Genomic DNA, 18,878 nt, shown 5'->3' on the forward strand with positions numbered 1-18,878 from the left:
AATCAGAGTCCCCATAAAACTCTGAGCACCACAAGGGCAGGTACCATACCTATTTTGTATTCAGCACTCTTTCCTTAACACCTATACTTACCACAGTATAAGCACACTCTAGGGACTACCAGATATAGACTGAAAGATCCCTCCCCATCCCTTTATTTGCCATTTATTTAAGGAACTGGCAAAATAAGGGAGAAAAAATAATACAGTTGAATTGTTACTGTACTTTTTACAACTGTCAATCATATTCATTCATCATAACAACTGTGATCAATCGGATTAAATATCTAAAATATTTAAGGTTCAATTGGTTTATGCTACAATTAAACATGTGAAAACTTGACAATTTTATCAGATTGGCCATAAAATATTTTAATCTCATGATGAATTCATCTATTGAGAGTTATTACATCTTTTAAGCAAAATAGCACCCACATTTCCCATACACAATGCTTTTTACAGATTTACTAATGTTTCAACCACTGGACAATTCTGTAATCACATTTGCTGGACAACTCCGTTCTTAGTAAATTGTAGAGCTCTGTTGTAAATGCTGTTGTTTTAATAATATTTTGTAGCATTTTAAAAGATACATAATCCCTAATGTTTAACACAGAGGTTTATAACCAATTCTCTATGAGAGCTAAGTACTGTTAAGCTCATCTGTAAATTTCACCGTTTTAGTATCTTAATTGGATTTCAGGTAATTATAGCTAAGATTCTATAATGCACATAAGAATTGTTTCAGCTACAAAAATAGGAAAAATTTAAAATATACACATGCCTTTACTGCTTATAAAAATTACAAGCCAGCGGCTATTTGTTTTTATAAAAGTGCTATAATTTACCTTACAACAGATATGTAAAGAAACTAAACCAGGTAATTTAGGTACCAATTAGAACTTTTACTTTACTTTTATTCAAGCAGTGACATAATCTACCACAGTTGTAGCATTTAAATACAATAGGTTTTTGAAGAAGGTTGGCACATCTCCGTTACTCCAGGGTCTTGCATAAAACATGTCAACCCCCTAAATATTGCAAATATAGGGCATTGTACCAAGTCTGCCTAAATTGCCATCTACACATTACTATAACAGTAGAGGTTTTCTCTCAATAAAACATAATTTTCTTTTGTTGCTAAAAGGTAAATAATGTTTTCAGAAATCTTTCTATGGTAAGTATTTTGAAGTGATCTTGTTCTAAAAGGTACTGGAATGCTCTTCCTGTTACTGCCCTCTAAGATGTAAACTATAGAAAATGACTTGAACAGAAAACAACCTCTCCCACATACATGTTCTGACATACATAAGTCCATTTTTTACGTCTGTACTGCATGATCACCAGTGTATGTGATGGTTTCGAGTCTTTGAGTTTTATGTTTCAAAAAGTCTTAGAGTCCCATTCAGCCTTCTCTGCTCAACTCTAGACTCGTATCATCTACTGCCTATTGGACCCCTCCACTCAGACATCTGATAAACCTCTGCCACATGACACAGCATAATACCACATAACAGAACCGCAAAATAAAAACATAACAAACATGATCTACTGAACCTCTCCCACCCAAACTTCATTTTCTCCTCTATCAGTGAATAGAATGCCATCCTTCCAGTTGCTATGCCAAAAACTGGGAGTCATCTTTTATCCAGCTATTTCTTATACTCCATCCAATCTGTCAGCAAATTCTTTGACCTTCAGAACATAACCAGAAGATGATCACCTCTCTCGCCATCTCTCCTCTGAATGCCATTGTCCAAACCGATGTCATCTTTTGTTCAGGCCCTCTGCAAGGGCCTGCTATCTGAGCTACCATCCCCACCCCACAATTGAGCAGAGCAGTCAGAAGAATCCTTGCAAAACATGAACTCGATCACGTCCCTTCTCTGCTCAAAACTCTGCAGTGTGAAAGCCAAAGGGCCCTCACAGTGGCCTACAGAGTCCACTTGATGTGTTCTCCCATCATCTCTCTGAAGTGATGACTACATTTCCTATGATTTGTCTTTGTGCCTGTGTGCCAGCCATGATTGGACTCCTTGGCATTTCTTGAGTATACTCGGCATTCTCACACCTTAGGGACCCAATTTACTGTATCTACAAGGCTCCCATCCCTATCTTGTTGAAATATTAGCTCAAATGATGTCTTCTCAATGTAACCTACCCTGACTACCCTATTTATTAATAGAACTTCCAACAATGCCCCTATCATTTTGTGCCCAATCCCTCTAAACTTGCTCTGTGGTTTTCTATAGCACTTGTTGCCTCATTAGATAATCTATACTCAAATTGGGTGAAATGGAATTAAATGGGAAATAGAAATTAAGACTTCTTTCAACTACTGATTTAAACAAATTTCCACATTTATATTATCTAAATATGGACCAATTGTTAGGAAACTTTTCTCAAAGATTGTCCTGTTTTAACCAACTTACTACTAGAAATTTTCCATTTAAAATATTCCATTTAAAATGAATAATTTATGGAAAATAGAAATTTTCCATTAAAATGAAGGCACTTGTTATAGTAATTCATGTTTACTATAGTATTTTCAGGACAGCTGGTCAAATTTTGGGACGGTTCCCTCTCAAATCTTGGAATTTGTTCAAGTATGCACTAACAACATGACATTTTCTTACTTTGAAGGCACCATGGTTTTGAAAAAATTTATTCCATCTATTCAAAGACTTCTTCCCAAAAGTACATTCATGGAGTATGGTTTTAGGAAACTAGAAAACTTGATGCATTTCTTACCATTAGTTCTAAAACAGACATTTCCATGCCTTGCCCTATAATCCTAAAAGGTTGATATTTTTGAAGAGTTACTCAAAAAATAACAATCATATTACTACCATTTCACCTGCTTTCTCATTCCCTAGCCCTTATTTCAAAAAGGAGTCTTCATTTTGCCATAATTATTAGAACATTGTTTCTTGGCTATACGACAATTTATCTCCTTTGAGACATTGGCCAGCTCTTCTGTTTTCAGCCTCCTGAGAGTTCTCAAACTGCTTTATATTTGCTGTCAGTGCACAGAAGATGAGAAAAACAAGCACTATATTAAACTGAATATGAATAAAATAGAGTGAATATCATTTGAATACACAAGATAAACAGTTTTCTGTATCCCATTCAAGAGAAAAATTCGGGCTAACATGAAATATAAAGACTAGTTAGACTTCAAAATTCAACGTATACAGCTCAGAGTTAGATTTGGAGTCTCTGTACTGCTTGGCTGTCCCTAGTTTAGCAATGCAACCTGAGTACATCTATTTTCTCGTATTTCATTTAACCTTTGAACTTACACGAAAATGTCCACGTGTTTAAATTGTGTTTTCCTAAGAAAGTTAAAAGCTTTTTCTTTATGAAAAGAAATTATGTGTTGATATTCATCTGTATTCTCCACAGTACAGAGCACACTGTTATGCAAATAGATGTTCAATAATAAAACTGTTGATTGCCAAACAATTGTTGTTTCTTAGTGTAAATGGTATATCCCGAAAATATTCTCTCTCAGGACTTGAGGGCTGTAGTTCTCAAAGGATTTTGCTCAATGGGAATAAATCAAATTATGGGGCCAGATATATCACACCAGGACCTCATGCACAATAGCTTCCTTAGCTTAGGAACCAATTATTTTTGATTGGTGTAAGCATTACATGGACAGCTGCTACCAGGACAATAAAAATTATTAATAACTTCCGGCAGTAAATTCAATTATTGTGATTATAGATGCTTGGATATGTGTTACATGGGCAAACCAGGAAGTGAAAGAACCTCCTTTTTAATGCTGATTTTCATAAAAATAATCAAATCTGAGCACTGGAAGGCCAACTTAACAATTGCTTGGCAAACTCATGTGCTACAGTCAGCATAAAATGATAATCACCATCCACACTTTGCCTCTTCTATCAAAGTACCACTTCTGTCCAAACCAAATTTGAGAATAATAAAATCGCATATTGGAAGCAACATATTTAACACAAGATAATAGGCAATTTAACAGTCTGATGCAGTGTTGTCTGACACAAAGAGATGGTTTTACACCTCCAAATTCTACAATTATCTTCAACGTTCTCTACAAAATAGATATAATAGATAACTGAAATCAGCAGAAGTACACCTAGGACTAAGAGCTCCTGATGTCAGGTTTTATTTAGGGTACATCTAAAGCAGAACTCCACGTTCTTTTAGCAGTTCGGGCCTGCTCTGCTGATTCACCACTGCTGCATCATGAATTGATCAGGATCACGAACGTCATGTTTCACTGCTCTGCTCAGGTCAGTGTGTCCACGTCCTAATTACTGCTTGACTTGCTTTGTCTTCCTCAGTCACAGGAAGCCACTCCCCACAACGAAAGGCAGGCTTCCAAGAGGTCACTCGAGGGACGCCACCAGCAAAGGCCTTGACCAACCTCCGCTGCCTGAAAAAAAGGGTCAGGTCCCAGAGACAAATCGTTCTTCAATTTTAACAGCAGACAAATGATGCTGTTCTTCCTAGAAAGTTCTATTGCCAGTATTTAGTAGAAATCATTATTGTACTACTTAGAAATGTGGATGCCACAATAAGCAGATGCGAAATGTGACATTTTGATTATTTACAAATCCTCTGACCATGATTCTTGCAAAACAAATATGATCATCTTACAACCAAAGGGAGTTAAAATTGTATCTCAAAGCCTCACCTTTCTCCTCTAGAAAGGCCACTCAGCTTACTGGTCCCAGCACCTGGCTGACTCTCCAGCAGACCTAGGATTAGCACTCCCGCTGCCTTTCCTGGATCCACCATCTACCTGTCTGGTGTAAGGCAGGCTTTCTCAGCCACAGGACTGCTAACATCACAGGACAGATAACTGTGTTGTAGGGGGGCTCTCCTTTGTATTGTAAGATGTGAGTGGCATCCCTGGACTTTACAGCCTAACTTAAGAGCAGCCCTGCCATGCCTCCTCCACCAGTTGTGATGTGCAAAATGCCTCCCGTCAGTGCTCAGTGTCCCTCAGGTGGCAAAACTGTCTCCACTTGAGAGCTACTAGTCTACAGTGAATCACAAACCTGTCTGCCTGTCTGATCTCAACTGTTCTTCTTCTTCCTTTTTTTTTTTTTTTTTTTTTTTTTTTTGCGATGGAGTTTCACTCTTGTTGCCCAGGCTACAGTGCAATGGCACGATCTCAGCTCACTGCAACCTCTGCCTCCCGGGTTCAGGCAATCCTCCTGCCTTCAGCCTCTCAAGTAGCTGGGATTACAGGCATGTGCCACCACGCCTGGCTAATTTTGTATTTTTAGTAGAGACAAGGTGTCTCTATGTTGGTCAGGCTGGTCTCAAACTCCCGACCTCAGGTGATCCGCGTGCCTCGGCCTCCCAAAGTGTTGGGATTACAGGCATGAGCCACCGTGCCAGCCTGTTCTTGTTTTTGAATGTGTAAAATGGGCTGATTTAAGAATATGAGATGGAGAAGAGCATATTTACAAGCATATTCACAAAAGTTCCTTTCAGAACTAGGACTATATTGCTTGGAAGTTCTCTTTTTTTGTTTGGCAGCCTATCTGTCACTGAAAGGAAGAAATTTCAAAGAGCCTGATATGGGAAGAACTATGTGTTTTGAGAAAGGGAGAGAATTTATCAATAACTTCAAAAAGAAGGGAAAAGAGAAAAAGGAATTACTAAAGGAGAATAACTGTCAACCTCTTTCGGTGTCAATTAACTAAATAAACTCTTGATATAATTCATTTTTATTAATAGAGACCAGCAAAGGAGACAGATTTTCACTTCTAAGTTGGATCAGTGTGGGAAGCAGAAAATACCCGCCAAATGCATACATGTTCTAATTCCTAGAACCAGTGAATATGTTATGTTCAACACAAAAGAGAACTAAGGTTGCAGATAGAATTAAGGTCTCTAATCAGCTGAATTTAAAATTGGGAGATTACCCTGGATTATTGAGGTGGGCTTACAATAATCATAAGGGTCTTGAGAAGTGGACAAAGGAAGAAGAGGAGAACTATAGACGTAATGTGGAAAGTACTCAGCCTGTTGACACGGTCTTTGAACATGGAGGAAGGAGCCACAAGCCAAGGAATGTGGGGGCAACCTTTAGAAGCTGGAAGAGACAAAAAAAAAAAAACGAGTTCTCCTCTAGAGCCTCCAGAAAGGAACACAGCCCTAGTGACACCTTGATTTTAGCCAACTGACACCCACATAGAGCTTCAAACATAAAGAACTTCAAGAGGAACAGGTGTAGTGGCTCACACCTGTAATCCCAACACTATGGGAGGCCAAAGTGGGAGGATCTCTTGAAGCCATTAGTTTGAGACCAGCCTGGGCAACATAGAAAGACCTCGTCTCTACAAAAAATTTAAAAGTTAGCCAGGTGCAGTGGCATATGCCTATAAACCTAGCTACTCGGGAGGCTGAGGTGGGAGGATTGCTTGAGCCCAGGAGTTTAAAGCTGTAGTGAGCTATGATTTTGCCACTGCACTCCAGCCAGGATGATAACGCCAGACGTTGTCTCTAAAAAAACCTTTAAGAAAATGCATTTGTGATGTTTTAGGCCATGAAATTTATGGTGATTTGTTATAGCAGCATCAGAAAATGAATGCAGTCAGGTATAACCAATGCATCATGTGAGGACACAGGACTTGGTTAAGAGGAAGCCTGAGCAGGATGTTCAAATCTCAGTTGCCCTATAAATGGAAGTATGGGCCAAGGTTAACCATCTACAAAAATTAGGAGGTCCCCACTGACAGCTCTGACACAGGAAATTTAAAAACAAATACATTTCAGAGACTGGGAGAACTGAAGGAGATTTTGTACCTAAAGTGTGCAGCACAGTGCCTGGCACATCCTACGTGCTAAATGTTTTTCGTGGATCTCCTACTGCATTTTTCCTACAAACAGAAAAGCTTTTGCCACAATGTAATCACCTTTCCCATGTTGTCCTAATAACAAACTACACTACTGCTCATGCAAAATAACGCACAGGGAGAAAGAGAAATCACATGCCATTAGGCTTCTCTTGGAATTCTTCGCGTGATCAATAATGGCATTCTCTTCTGTGTGGTCCCAATCAATACATGATTCTAGTTATCATGAACTCACTCCAAGACACTGCCTCCCTGACACCTTATCACGAGCAGTAGATAAGCTGTAACAATTTTTCTAGATATCTGCAAGCACATCTATCACTGTGACAAATGCATGATGTGGCATTATATCTTCTCTTCTTAGCCTTGTTTTAATATCACAAGTCTGTATTTAATACCACAAGGTTCTGATCCAAGCTCACATTTTAACGCTTTCTGGACTGCCAATGCATAATGACCTTTCTTGACTATCCAGCTGGTTGGCTGGTACAAAATACTGTGAAGCCAGGGACAGTTTCAACAAGCCGAGTTATTCCAGAGAAGGATGAACTTGCTAGAGGCTGTGGTACTAATTTTATTGCATGTTAATTCTAGCCAGGAAAATTGCCCTTTGCTCAGACTTTGCACTGATTTCAGAGAAAAGTCCAATAATTATTTGAGGCAAGAAATAATGGCTGTTTTTGTTTTTACTTGGGGGAAGAAAATACAAAATCACAGAAAACATTACAGGCAAGGAATAACATCTCAGATTATTATAATCAGCCAATCAGAACTTTAACGAGCTGTTTAAGATTTTCTCTCTCTTCCACATGGAGATGTCAGTTCTGTTTCATTAACAGGATACTCAGTCACATTGGCAGAAAATCCTGTGGCTACTGTTTGAGAATGAGTGATCATTATTTTTAGAATTATTGTGTATTAGACCAGAAAGTAACTCAAAAGACCCACCAGTTTTGCCATTAGTTATAGATACTGAGACCATTCATTCATTCATTCATTCATTCAATAATATCTATGCTCTATAAAGCCTGTGCTGGTCTCAACTAGTCAAAGACACTGACCCTAAATCACCCAGCAAATCAGTGATAAAGCTGTGATTCCAAGCCAAGAACTTTGGCAGATCACTGTAATCAATACACCTAGTAAAACACCAACTTACACTGTGACTTCATTAAAATAATGTACTATTTATAAATTGTAAGAATTTATGAAAAACAGAAACAGTGTAAGCAGCGCTGGACATCTAGAATGCCTCACTGTTTTATGATCTAAGGCACATCAGATTGTTTTTCCCAATTATCATGGAGCTAGTTCCCTACACTTCACCTCAGTGCTCTTTTGTCAACCAAGATAAACCCCTGATGGCGAAGCAGGGGCAGGATAGACAGAGTCCCCAGGTGGAGTACTAGAACTAACACTTACCATTATGTGTGACCTCTGACAGGTCACTTCACCTGCAGGCACAGCTAGAGCAAGCAGTGACGCATGCGCAGGGGTGTCCCTTGCCTCCAATGCAGCCACCATCCCAGCTGTGGTGCTGAGGATCACACTAGCCCCAACTAAGACCTGCGGCTGGACTCCTGCCTCTGCTCTGTCAGGACAGTCTTTGGGTGCTCCAGGGTGGTGATTGGGGTGTGAATTCCACCATAGGGCAGTCTGATGTGGGAAACACTAATGACAGACCCAAGCTACCAGTTTGAACATCATCTTACCTTCAAAAGAGGTATGAAACCCACTGAAAGTAAATTAATCAAACTAATGATCTTTGGTGTTAAATGACTGAATATTCAGAATCAAGGGGATCATGGAGTTTGCCTGCTCTTTAAAAGTATCCAACTCAACAAGAAGAAGAAAATGCAAAAGGAGCAAATGACTTGAATAGACATTACTCCTAAGAAGATTGCTATCGTTTCAATATTTGTCCCCTCCAAAATGCACGTTGAAACTTAATCCTCAATGTGGCAGTACTGAGAGATAGGGCCTTTAAGAGGTAATTGGATCATGAGGGATCTAAGTTCATGAATAAATTTATTCATTAATAGATTAATGAGTTACCATGGGAGTGGGACTGATGGCTTTGTAAGAAGAGGAAAAAAGACCTGAGCTAGCGTGCTCAGCCCTCTTGCCATGTGAGGCCCTCCACAGCCTTGGGACCATGCAGAGTCTCCAGCAGCAAGAAGGTATTCACAAGATACGGCCCCTGGACCTTAGACTTCTCAGCCTCAATAAATGTAAGAAATACATTCCCTTTATTTATAAATTAGCCAGTTTTACATTTTTGGTTATAAGCAACCGAACACAGACAAGACAAAGACACCCAAATGGCCAATATGCACAAGAAAAAACACCCAACATCAACAGTCATTAGGGAAGCACAAATCAAAATTAGAGTATACCACTTCATATCCATTAGAATGGCCATACTTTAAAACATGGAAAATACGTGTTGGTGAAAATGTGGACAAACTGGAACCCTCATGCATTGCTAACAGGCATGTGAAATGGTACAGTCTATTCACTCAAAACAGGTAAACACAGAATTGCCATATGATGCACCAACCCCACTCTTAGGTATATACCCAAAAGAACTGAAAACAAAGACTCAGATACTTGCACACCAATGTTCACAGCAGCATTATTCACAATTGCCAAAAGGTGAAAGCAACTCGAATGTCAATTGATGGATGAATGGGCAAACAACATGTGGTTTATTCATACAATGGAATATTATTCTGACATAAGAAGGTGCCAACTTCTGACACATGCCACAACATGGATTAACCTTGAAAGTATCATGCTGAGTGAAATAAGCCTGATACAAAAGGTCAAATAATATGTGATTCCACCTATATGAAGTACCAAGAATAGCCAAATTCATAAAGACAGGAAGTAGACTGATGTTGGCTATGGGCTGCAAGAATGGAAAGATGGAGAATTACTGTTTAATTGGTACAGAGCTGCTATTCGAAATAATGCAAAAGTTCTGGAAATGATAATGACGGTTGCACAGCATCATCAGTGTATATAATGCCACTTACTTCTATACTTAAAAACGGCTAAGGTGGTAAATTTTATGTATGCTTTAATGCAATAAAAACAGATCTATTTTTCAAAAGTATTTTGTCCAAGAGGTACACTAGAAGGTGAGGAGACAAGTCAATTTAGTCCAAATATGTGTATTTCCTTTTCCTGTGCCAGAAGGGGGTCACTAAGGTGTTAGGAACAAAATGCAAAAAAATAAGGAAGCAAGAAATATTCTAATTCCCCTGACACAACCGTAATTGGTAGCAGGATGAAAATCTCAAAATGTCTGCACCTTGAGAATATTAGAGAGGCCTTGAAGAAGCATGAAACCACCCGGCAAATACTTACACATAGACTGATTTAGAGTGGAAAAATGGTCATATTGCATCCACTACCACAATGCCTAGCAAAAGAGCCCAATGGAGAAAATCAAAAGGGAGAATATAGCACTGCGATAGGGGTTGGGTCCACGGAAAGCCTCTGCAAATCTACATCAGTGGTTCTCATTCATAGGCAATTCTGTCCCCTAGGAGGCATTTGGCAATCCCTAGAGACATTATTGGTTGTTACAGCTGGGTGGTGGAGTTCTGCAGGCGTCTAGCAGAGGCTTGCGATGCTGCTCAATAGCCTGTAATGCAAAGGACAGCCCACAACAACAGTTATCCAGTCCATAATGCCAATAGTGCTGAAATGGAGAGCTGTCAGCTACATGAAAGCTGAGCCTTCTATGTAGTTGGTCAATCAGTTAAGATGGAATGACAGGTACACTCATGAGCGAGCTGTACAGTCAGCAAACTTGGAGATGAATTTGCTTACAAAGAATATGCTTCTGCAGAATTCCCTGACTTAAGTAAGCTCGAGGATAAACAGACTCTCCCTTGGCTCAATTCCCTATAAAAGGAAGTGAAAAAATGCATCAAGTGCCTAGTCGGCTTTTACAGAGCAAAGCAAGAAAACCTGTCCTTTCCACATCTCCTGAAGAGCAGAGAATGGTTTGGTCCTTGCTGTTGCTACCATTCTGCTCACTCAGTTCAGGCATGAAGAGGTGGCCCCAGCATGTGCTAGTGCAAGAACTGGCAGGAAAATGGAAGTTAATGCCTGGAGGGAAACTTCCACAAATTCAAACAGTCAGGTGCAGAGGACAAACTTATTACCTACTGATAAGACATAACTCTGTAATCTCAATTTATGGAAAACTAACCTTTGGTGGAGACACAGGGGTAAGGTTTCTGCAACAGAATGAAGGTTTGTGTCCCCCAAAAATTCAAATGTTGAAATCCTAATTCCCAGTGTAATGGTATTTGGAGACAGGGGTCTTTGGCAGGTAATTAGGTTTAGGTAAGGTCATGAGGGTAGAGCTTCCATGAATGGGATTTGCCCTCTTGCAAGAAGAGGCCAGAGAGTTATCTAGGTCTTTCCACCATATAAGAATATAACCAGAAGTCAGCTAACCCCTGCTCAGAAGGGGGGCCCTCATTCTCAGACTACCAGCCCTCAGAACTATGTGAAGTAAATTTCTGCCATTTGTAAATTTCCAAGTCTATGGTAACTTGTTCTAGCAGGCACAAACTGACTTAAGACAGCGTTCCTCTAAGCCATCTCTCATGTTTACATGGCTTAGTCTGTAGATGATACCACATAGAGACAGAGAAGTCTGTTAATTTCCCTATGCCATAGTTTCCTCATCTGTAAAACAAGGATAAAAACAGTCCCTGTCTAACAGGATTATTAGGGGGATTCAGGGAGTTAATATTCGTAAAGGACTTGGAATAATAAAAAAGTGCTACATATGTATTTATAAAATAAAGACTGTAAAGAGCTATCATATTAGAGGCAGCCTATCTGATTAGCATCATTTCTTTAAGAACGATCAGACTTAAAAGAATTTGTATTTTAAAGAAGAAAAGATAATAAAATCTTTAGGAATTTAACTGAGAGTTTACCAAGATTTCATCAGTATACCAAAGAAAGACTTTCTGGCACCCTCTAGAGATTTTATTTTTGTCTCTAAATAATCTTCATAATGTTGTTCATATTTTAGTATTTTCAAATGAAACAACTCTTCACAACTTATTGTGAGACTTGAGATTGGACAAGCCCGAGACACAATTATACTAGTAAGAGTTTTCACTGTCAAATTTCTTATTCTAATATTGGGAAGCAGAAATGATTACATAGTTTTAGGGGGAGGCGTAAAGATGTAGGATATTTCCTACAGAAAAATCTATTCATTCTTTTTTATTATTATCACAAGTTCTGGGACACATGTGCAGAATACACGTGCCATGGTGGTTTGCTGCATCCATCAACCTGTCATCTACATTAGGTATTTCTCCTAATGCTATCCCTCCCCTAGCCCCCCACCCCTCAACATGCCCTGGTGTGTGATGTTCCCCTCCCTGTGTCCATGTGTTCTCATGGTTCAACTCCCACTTATGAGTGAGAACATGGGGTGTTTGGTTTTCTGTTCCTGTGTTAGTTTTCTGAGAATGATGGTTTACGGCTTCATCCGTGTCCCTGCAAAGGACATGAATTCATCCTTTTTTATGGCTGTATAGTATTCCATGGTGTATACGTGCCACATTTTATTTATCCAGTCTATCACTGATGGGCATTTGGGTTGGTTCCAAGTCTTTGTTATTGTGAATAGCGCTGCAATAAACACATGTGTGCATGTGTCTTTATAGTAGTATGATTTACAATCCTTTGAATAGATACCCAGTAATGGGATGGCTGCATCAAATGGTATTTCTGCTTCTAGATCCTTGAGGAATCGCCATACTGTCTTCCACAATGGTTGAACTAATTGACACTCCTATTAACAGTGTAAAAGCATTCCTATTTCTCCACATCCTCTCCAGCATCTGTTGTTTCCTGACTTTTTAATGATTGCCATTTTAACTGGCATGAGATGGTATGTCATTATGGTTTTGATTTGCATTTCTCAAATGACCAGTGATGATGAGCTTTTTTTCATGTTTGTTGGCTGCATAAATGTCTTCTTTTGAGAAGTGTCTGTTCATATCCTTTGTCCACTTTTTGATGGGGTTGTTTTTTTTCTTGTAAATTTGTTTAAGTTCCTTGCAGATTCTGGATAGTTGTTGGGAAAACTGGCTAGCCATATGCAGAAAACTGAAACTGGACCCCTTCCTTATACCTTATACAAAAATTAAGACAGATTAAAGACTTCAACATAAATACTAAAACCATAAAAACCCTAGAAGAAAACCTAGGCAATACCATTCAGGACATAGGCATTGACAAAGACTTCATGACTAAAACACCAAAAGCAATGCCAACAAAAGCCAAAATCGACAAATGGGATCTAATTAAACTAAAGAGCTTCTGCGCAGCAAAAGAAACTATTGTCAGAGCGAACAGGCAACCTACAGAATGGGAGAAAATTTTTGCAATCTATCCAACAAAGGGCTATTCCTTCTAAAATCTGTAGAAAACTAACATTTGTTGGAGACACAGGGATTCAATAGTGTTATGCTTATCTGTCCAAAACCCGTATATAGTAACAAAAAAAGCAAAAGGTAGTTCCAAGATGTTTACAGTGTTTATGGCAGAGCACATTTATGCACAAGAATTTAAAATTTAATATAATGATATGACTCAAAATGACTCAAATTGATACTAAAAGATGAAACAGTTATCCCAAAACATAGCTGCATTTTGCACATCAAATAAGGCAGCATGCAGAGGTTAAAGTACAGCAGATCTGCTCCCAAACCTAGTTAGTGGATATACAGAGACACATTCTGGCAGGGCTGAGGTTACTTGCCACCAGCCCCTTTATATTTATCTTTCAAGGTGAACTGGATCACAAAGAGATTTTATTGACCGTCTGTGAGTTTACCACTTTATCATAATGTTAAAATCAATAAAAACATGTTGTGTATAAGTCACCTCTCCGTTCTGAACCAATTAAGAAATATCAGATGGAATTATAAAGATAGCATCCACTTTACTGCTAGTGGAGCTGAATTATCACCTTGGGCTAGATACCAAAGCAGCTACCCTGCTACTTCACTTTCTGCGTGGGAATTTCCCAACTGGACAAGGGGCTGGAATGGAGTCCACCCCTTTGACACCTGCCCAAGGTGGAGGCGACAAGGAGGAAATGTGCAGCTTCACAGTAGCCTTGCATCATGCACTGACCTTCAACACATCCATTCCATCCCAAAGCGGGACCAGCTGGTGACACAAGCCCCCACTGGTGACAAGGAAGTAAAAGTAATACAGAGGGAGCCTAGAAAAGGCAATCTAATATTACTACCTGCAGGGGAATGGCAGTGATGGGGAAATCAAGTGCCCTCACAACACAGACATCCAAGCCCTACTATTCAGCAGTGAATGAAATGGTAGGCATATTTACAGCCTTAGTTTGAGAGCAAAGAAAAACAAACAGAAACGCTGGAATTGATTAAACATGCATTGAAGTCCCATCCTAGTTTTAAGTTAAAATAGCAACTTTTAATGATAAAATTCTCTCACTCTTATGACCTCTTTGTGAGAAAAAATTGTGAGAAATTTTAAATAACCTCTGCACTGCAAAAAACCACAGCAGTAATATCAAATATCATTGAACTAGTAAACATAAGATAGCAGTCTGAGGGGAATATGTGCCAGAATCCCCAAAACCGCAGAAAGTACCAAATCCTCTATATACACTAGGTTTTTTCCTACACACACATACCTATGATAAAGTGAAATTTATAGTTAGGCACAGTGGGAGATTAACAATAACTAATAATACAATAGGACAAGTATGATATACCAGCATCGCTACTCTTGTGCACTGGAGCCATTATTAAGTAAAATAAGGGTGATGTGAACACAAGCACTGCCATATCCCAACAGGGGACCCCATCACCAAGACAGTTCATAAGTGACTACAGGGTTGCAGGGAGCAGAGACAGCATGCATTCCCTGGAGAAAGGGGTAATTTACATCCTAGGTGGGAAGGAATGGGACAGCGAGATTTCAGCATACTACTCAGAATGTCACCTAAGTTAAAACTTATGAATTGCTTATTTGTGTAATTTTCTATTTAATAGTTTTAGACCACAGTTGACTGTGGATAACTGAAACCTGAAAATTGAGGATAAGAGGGGACTACTGTAATGTTTAACTCACGAAATTGATACCACAATCCCTTACCCAGATAGCCTGTACTATTCCCAGGTAAACACCATCATTAATTTTCAAAGGAAAATATAACCCAGACATCTTTTAAGTTACATATGAAAGAATGGAAATGTACCAGTGATGAGGTGATTCTTTCAAACAATTGTGAAAAAAATACATAAATAATCTAATCACAAATTGGTTTGCCCATGTAGAAAACAAAGAAGAATTCTGACCTCATATAGTAATCATGACTACATCCTTTCACTTAAGTGGATAACTTAAAAATAATTTTCCTATGGAATCACAAAACCTCTGTCCCTTCAGAAGCAAAGGTTTCTAAATTGTTCAATCATTCTGGTAGAAACCTTTGTTGTTCAGGGTTTCAAACTCTAAGTACAAGCTAGCTGTTAGACGATTATACGTAGTTCTTCAACTTCAAAACTACCTCCCTCTTCCTACAACCTCAATCTTTGCTTCCTAACCCCTAATTCACTATTGAATTTTTGTAAGAACACTGCTATTTATGGTTGCTTCTCTGAAAATACATAATTCAATTTGAAATATTCATACCCTGGGAAAGAAAACTGCTGCCCAAAGCATTTTACACATTTGGGATTAATGAATATAATGGACTGAATCTTTGTGCTTCTCTCCCACAACCAAATCCATATGTTGAAGCCCTAACTCCCAATGTAACAGTATTTAAAGCCAGGGGCCTTTGAGAGAAAATTATATTCAGATGAGGTCGTGAGGGTTGGGCCCTCATGATGGGATTTTACCGTCCGTATAGCAGGGGAAGAGATGTCACAACTCTGCCATGTGAGGGCACAGCAAGAAAGCAACTGTCTGCAAGCCATCAAGAACCCAACCCTGCTGGCAGTCTGATTTTGGACTTCCCGGCTTTCAGAACTGTGGGGAATAAATACTGCTGTTTATAAGTCACCCAGACTACGGTATTTTGTTATAGCAGCACCAGCAAACTAATAAAGTAATCTTGAATAGACTCAAGACTATACTAGGAAGATTCAATAACTCATGGAGTTTCCCCTCCATAAATCAAGACCAGAAAGTAATCAAGGTTATCAAGACCAAATGTTGGTTCACCAGCAAGTTTGCTTTTGCTTCCACACAATCTCACAAGGAATATCCTTGATAAGGAATAAAACAGATGAAATTGTGAAGAAAGTGTATAAATTCTCTAATTTTGTAACAGCTATAGCATGACTAAGTAACATTACTAAATGACTCCCATTTATAAGATCTTCAACCTGGTGCTATTCATACAAAGAAGTGGAAGACACGATCATTCCCTATCCATGGTCCCTTAGAATATGGGCAGAATCTGTAATGGTATGATTTCAGATAGATAGGTAGAAAAAGAGGAGAGGAGGGAGGAGGCAGGAGGGAGGAGGCGGGAGGCAGCAGGGAGGAGGTGGGAGGCAGGAGAGGGCAGGAAAGGCGGGGAGAGGGGAGAGTGGAAAGGGGAGAGGCGAGAGGGGAGGAGAAGAGAAGAGAGGAGAAGAGAAAAGAAAAGAGAAAAGAACGAAAAAGGAAAAAAGATTTTATATATAATCTTTCAACTTGGGTCAAAGGTGACTTGGGTCAAAACACAATTCACAGAGAAGAATTCCATCTAAGAGTCAGCAAGTCTAACATTTAATCATAGGGTTAAAATCAATATAATCATATTCGCAACAAATTGACTGTGTATGTATACACATGCACATATAATTAAAAAGCACATAAATATTTAAACAAAAGAGAAGGATTACTTTGCAAGGGAAATAAAGCTGGGAGAAATAGTCCAGTAGCCTGATCTGGGTAAAAGACTGCTTTTAAAACACACCACATTATTAAATGCTCTTAAAAGCATTTAATAATGATGTAGATTGAAAAGGTGTTCAAAGCTAGCATTGTTTAAGTTTATACATTAGGCGCTTTAATTGGCATTGAGTTATAAACAATTTCTAAATTTCGTTATCTCAATGTTAACTTTTAAAAGTAATTTTAAATTATTATTATAAATCAAACATGAAAGAAATAAGCCACATTTAACATCATGACATTTAGTCCAGCAAACTTGCTGAATTCCCTTGTTAATTATGACAGTTAAGACCTTAGAGTCCCTTGAAATTTGTAAGTAAATATTATCTGCACATAGTTTTAAGCTTTTCTTCTTGTTCCTGCCCATGCTTCTTATGTCTATTCTTATTTTATAGCAATGACTGAGGTTAAAGAAGTGCTGTTAGCAGATATTCTTTTATTTTTGTGTCAGAAATGGGATTATAAGCCTTAGATTTCAGTATTATTTAGCCTAAGAATGTTTTAATTCCTGGTTCACTAAGAGATACTAATTAAGTCTGATATTGAAATGTATCGTTTTTAAATGTGAAATATGCATATTTGTAATAACTGATTTTCATCTTTCTTTCATTTTACTCCATTGCCATTATTTTCCTAATTTCTTGAGATGAGTACTTAGTTCACTAATTAGCAGTTATTCTTTTCTAATAAATTTCCCTCTGTGTACTAAACTAGCTATATTCTTTGAGTTTTGCTATTTGCTGTTTTAATTGGCATCCAGTTATAAACAGTTTCTGAAATTCATTATGATGTCTCAAAGTTAACTTTTAAGAGTAAACTTCTTAGAATCATCATTATAAATCAAGCCTATAAGAAATAAGCATATGTAATTTTTAAAAGAACCATATTTTGAAATATAAGCACATAATTTTTAAGCTGTGTTACCAATATTTGAATACGCTTGAAGATTAACTCTGATATTTAAAGTATCTAATATTGAGAAGCTTTCATTTCATATTACTGCCTAATTCACAGCAAGAAAATCAAGGTTTGCAAAAAAAATTTCCCACCTTCAATAATGATAGTTGTCGACAGCACCATCACCATCATCATCATCATCATCATCATATTCTACCAAGAGGTATCATTTCTCTTTAAGACAAAATATAAGACTATCAAAATCTGAAGGACAAAAAGACTTTTCTTTCATTTGGGAAGAAGTGCTATAGAACAAAGAGAGGAAAAATACAATTTCAAATTATTAACATCAAGTTTCATTAAACTATATATAAATCCATCTAATATATAAAAATATTTAAGTACCAAAGAGCAGCATGCAAAATTCTGAGACTTTGTATATGGCAGAAACAAATAAATATATCTTGTGTATAAGAAAAGAAATGTAGAAGGCAATTATCTTCTACTCAAGCTTTCTTCTTTTGAAAGTGTGGTACAGAATAGCTTAACAATTTTGTACACACACACAGACACACAAAGGAACAGAAATTGTAAAAGCAATCAGAAACACTCAAAAATGTGATTATATCCTTTCTAGTTTTTCATTTTATATTTGAAAAACTATAGCGGTATATATTAACAAATGTGGTATACAATTTTATATATAAATAACTCCATTATAAATATTACACATTTTCTGGCTCTGATCCCTAAAGAATTTCTTCTACCTCTTCTTTACTCTCTCTCCTCACCAAGATGTGTTATTTCTTACAAAAGTTTGCTGGCTTGTCTCTGGGATGAGCTCCCAAGAGACAAGGTCAGGCCCAAGTAAGGTAGGGTTCACAGGAGCCCAAGAAACAATAGCATTTGTACCTTCAGTTTACTTCAAATCTTCAGGATAGATCAATACATAGAGAAAACAGATGCAAATGTTTGGCAGTGTTCTATACCCCAGATCTCAAACTGAATACAACTGCACCAGAAACCTGTTCTAAGGCTTGAACAGCTGGGAAAGTGACTAGATGTTATTTCCGGAATCCTGAGCTGAAGTTTGCAGTGTAAGATCCACTGACCGTGAAATTCGGTGTCTACACCTTTTCAGGT

The 18,878-nt window shown here is 38.1% G+C and overlaps 1 protein-coding gene across 6 annotated transcripts in view; it reads right to left on the reverse strand.

The window, feature by feature from the left end:
- The window catches only part of CTNND2 (catenin delta 2), a 932,611-nt gene that overhangs the window by 887,965 nt on the left and 25,768 nt on the right, over nucleotides 1-18,878 (reverse strand). The gene's annotated exons all lie outside the window — the stretch shown is intronic.

This window comes from Homo sapiens, chromosome 5, assembly GCF_000001405.40.
Source record: "Homo sapiens chromosome 5, GRCh38.p14 Primary Assembly".
NCBI classification, from domain to species: Eukaryota; Metazoa; Chordata; class Mammalia; order Primates; family Hominidae; genus Homo; species Homo sapiens.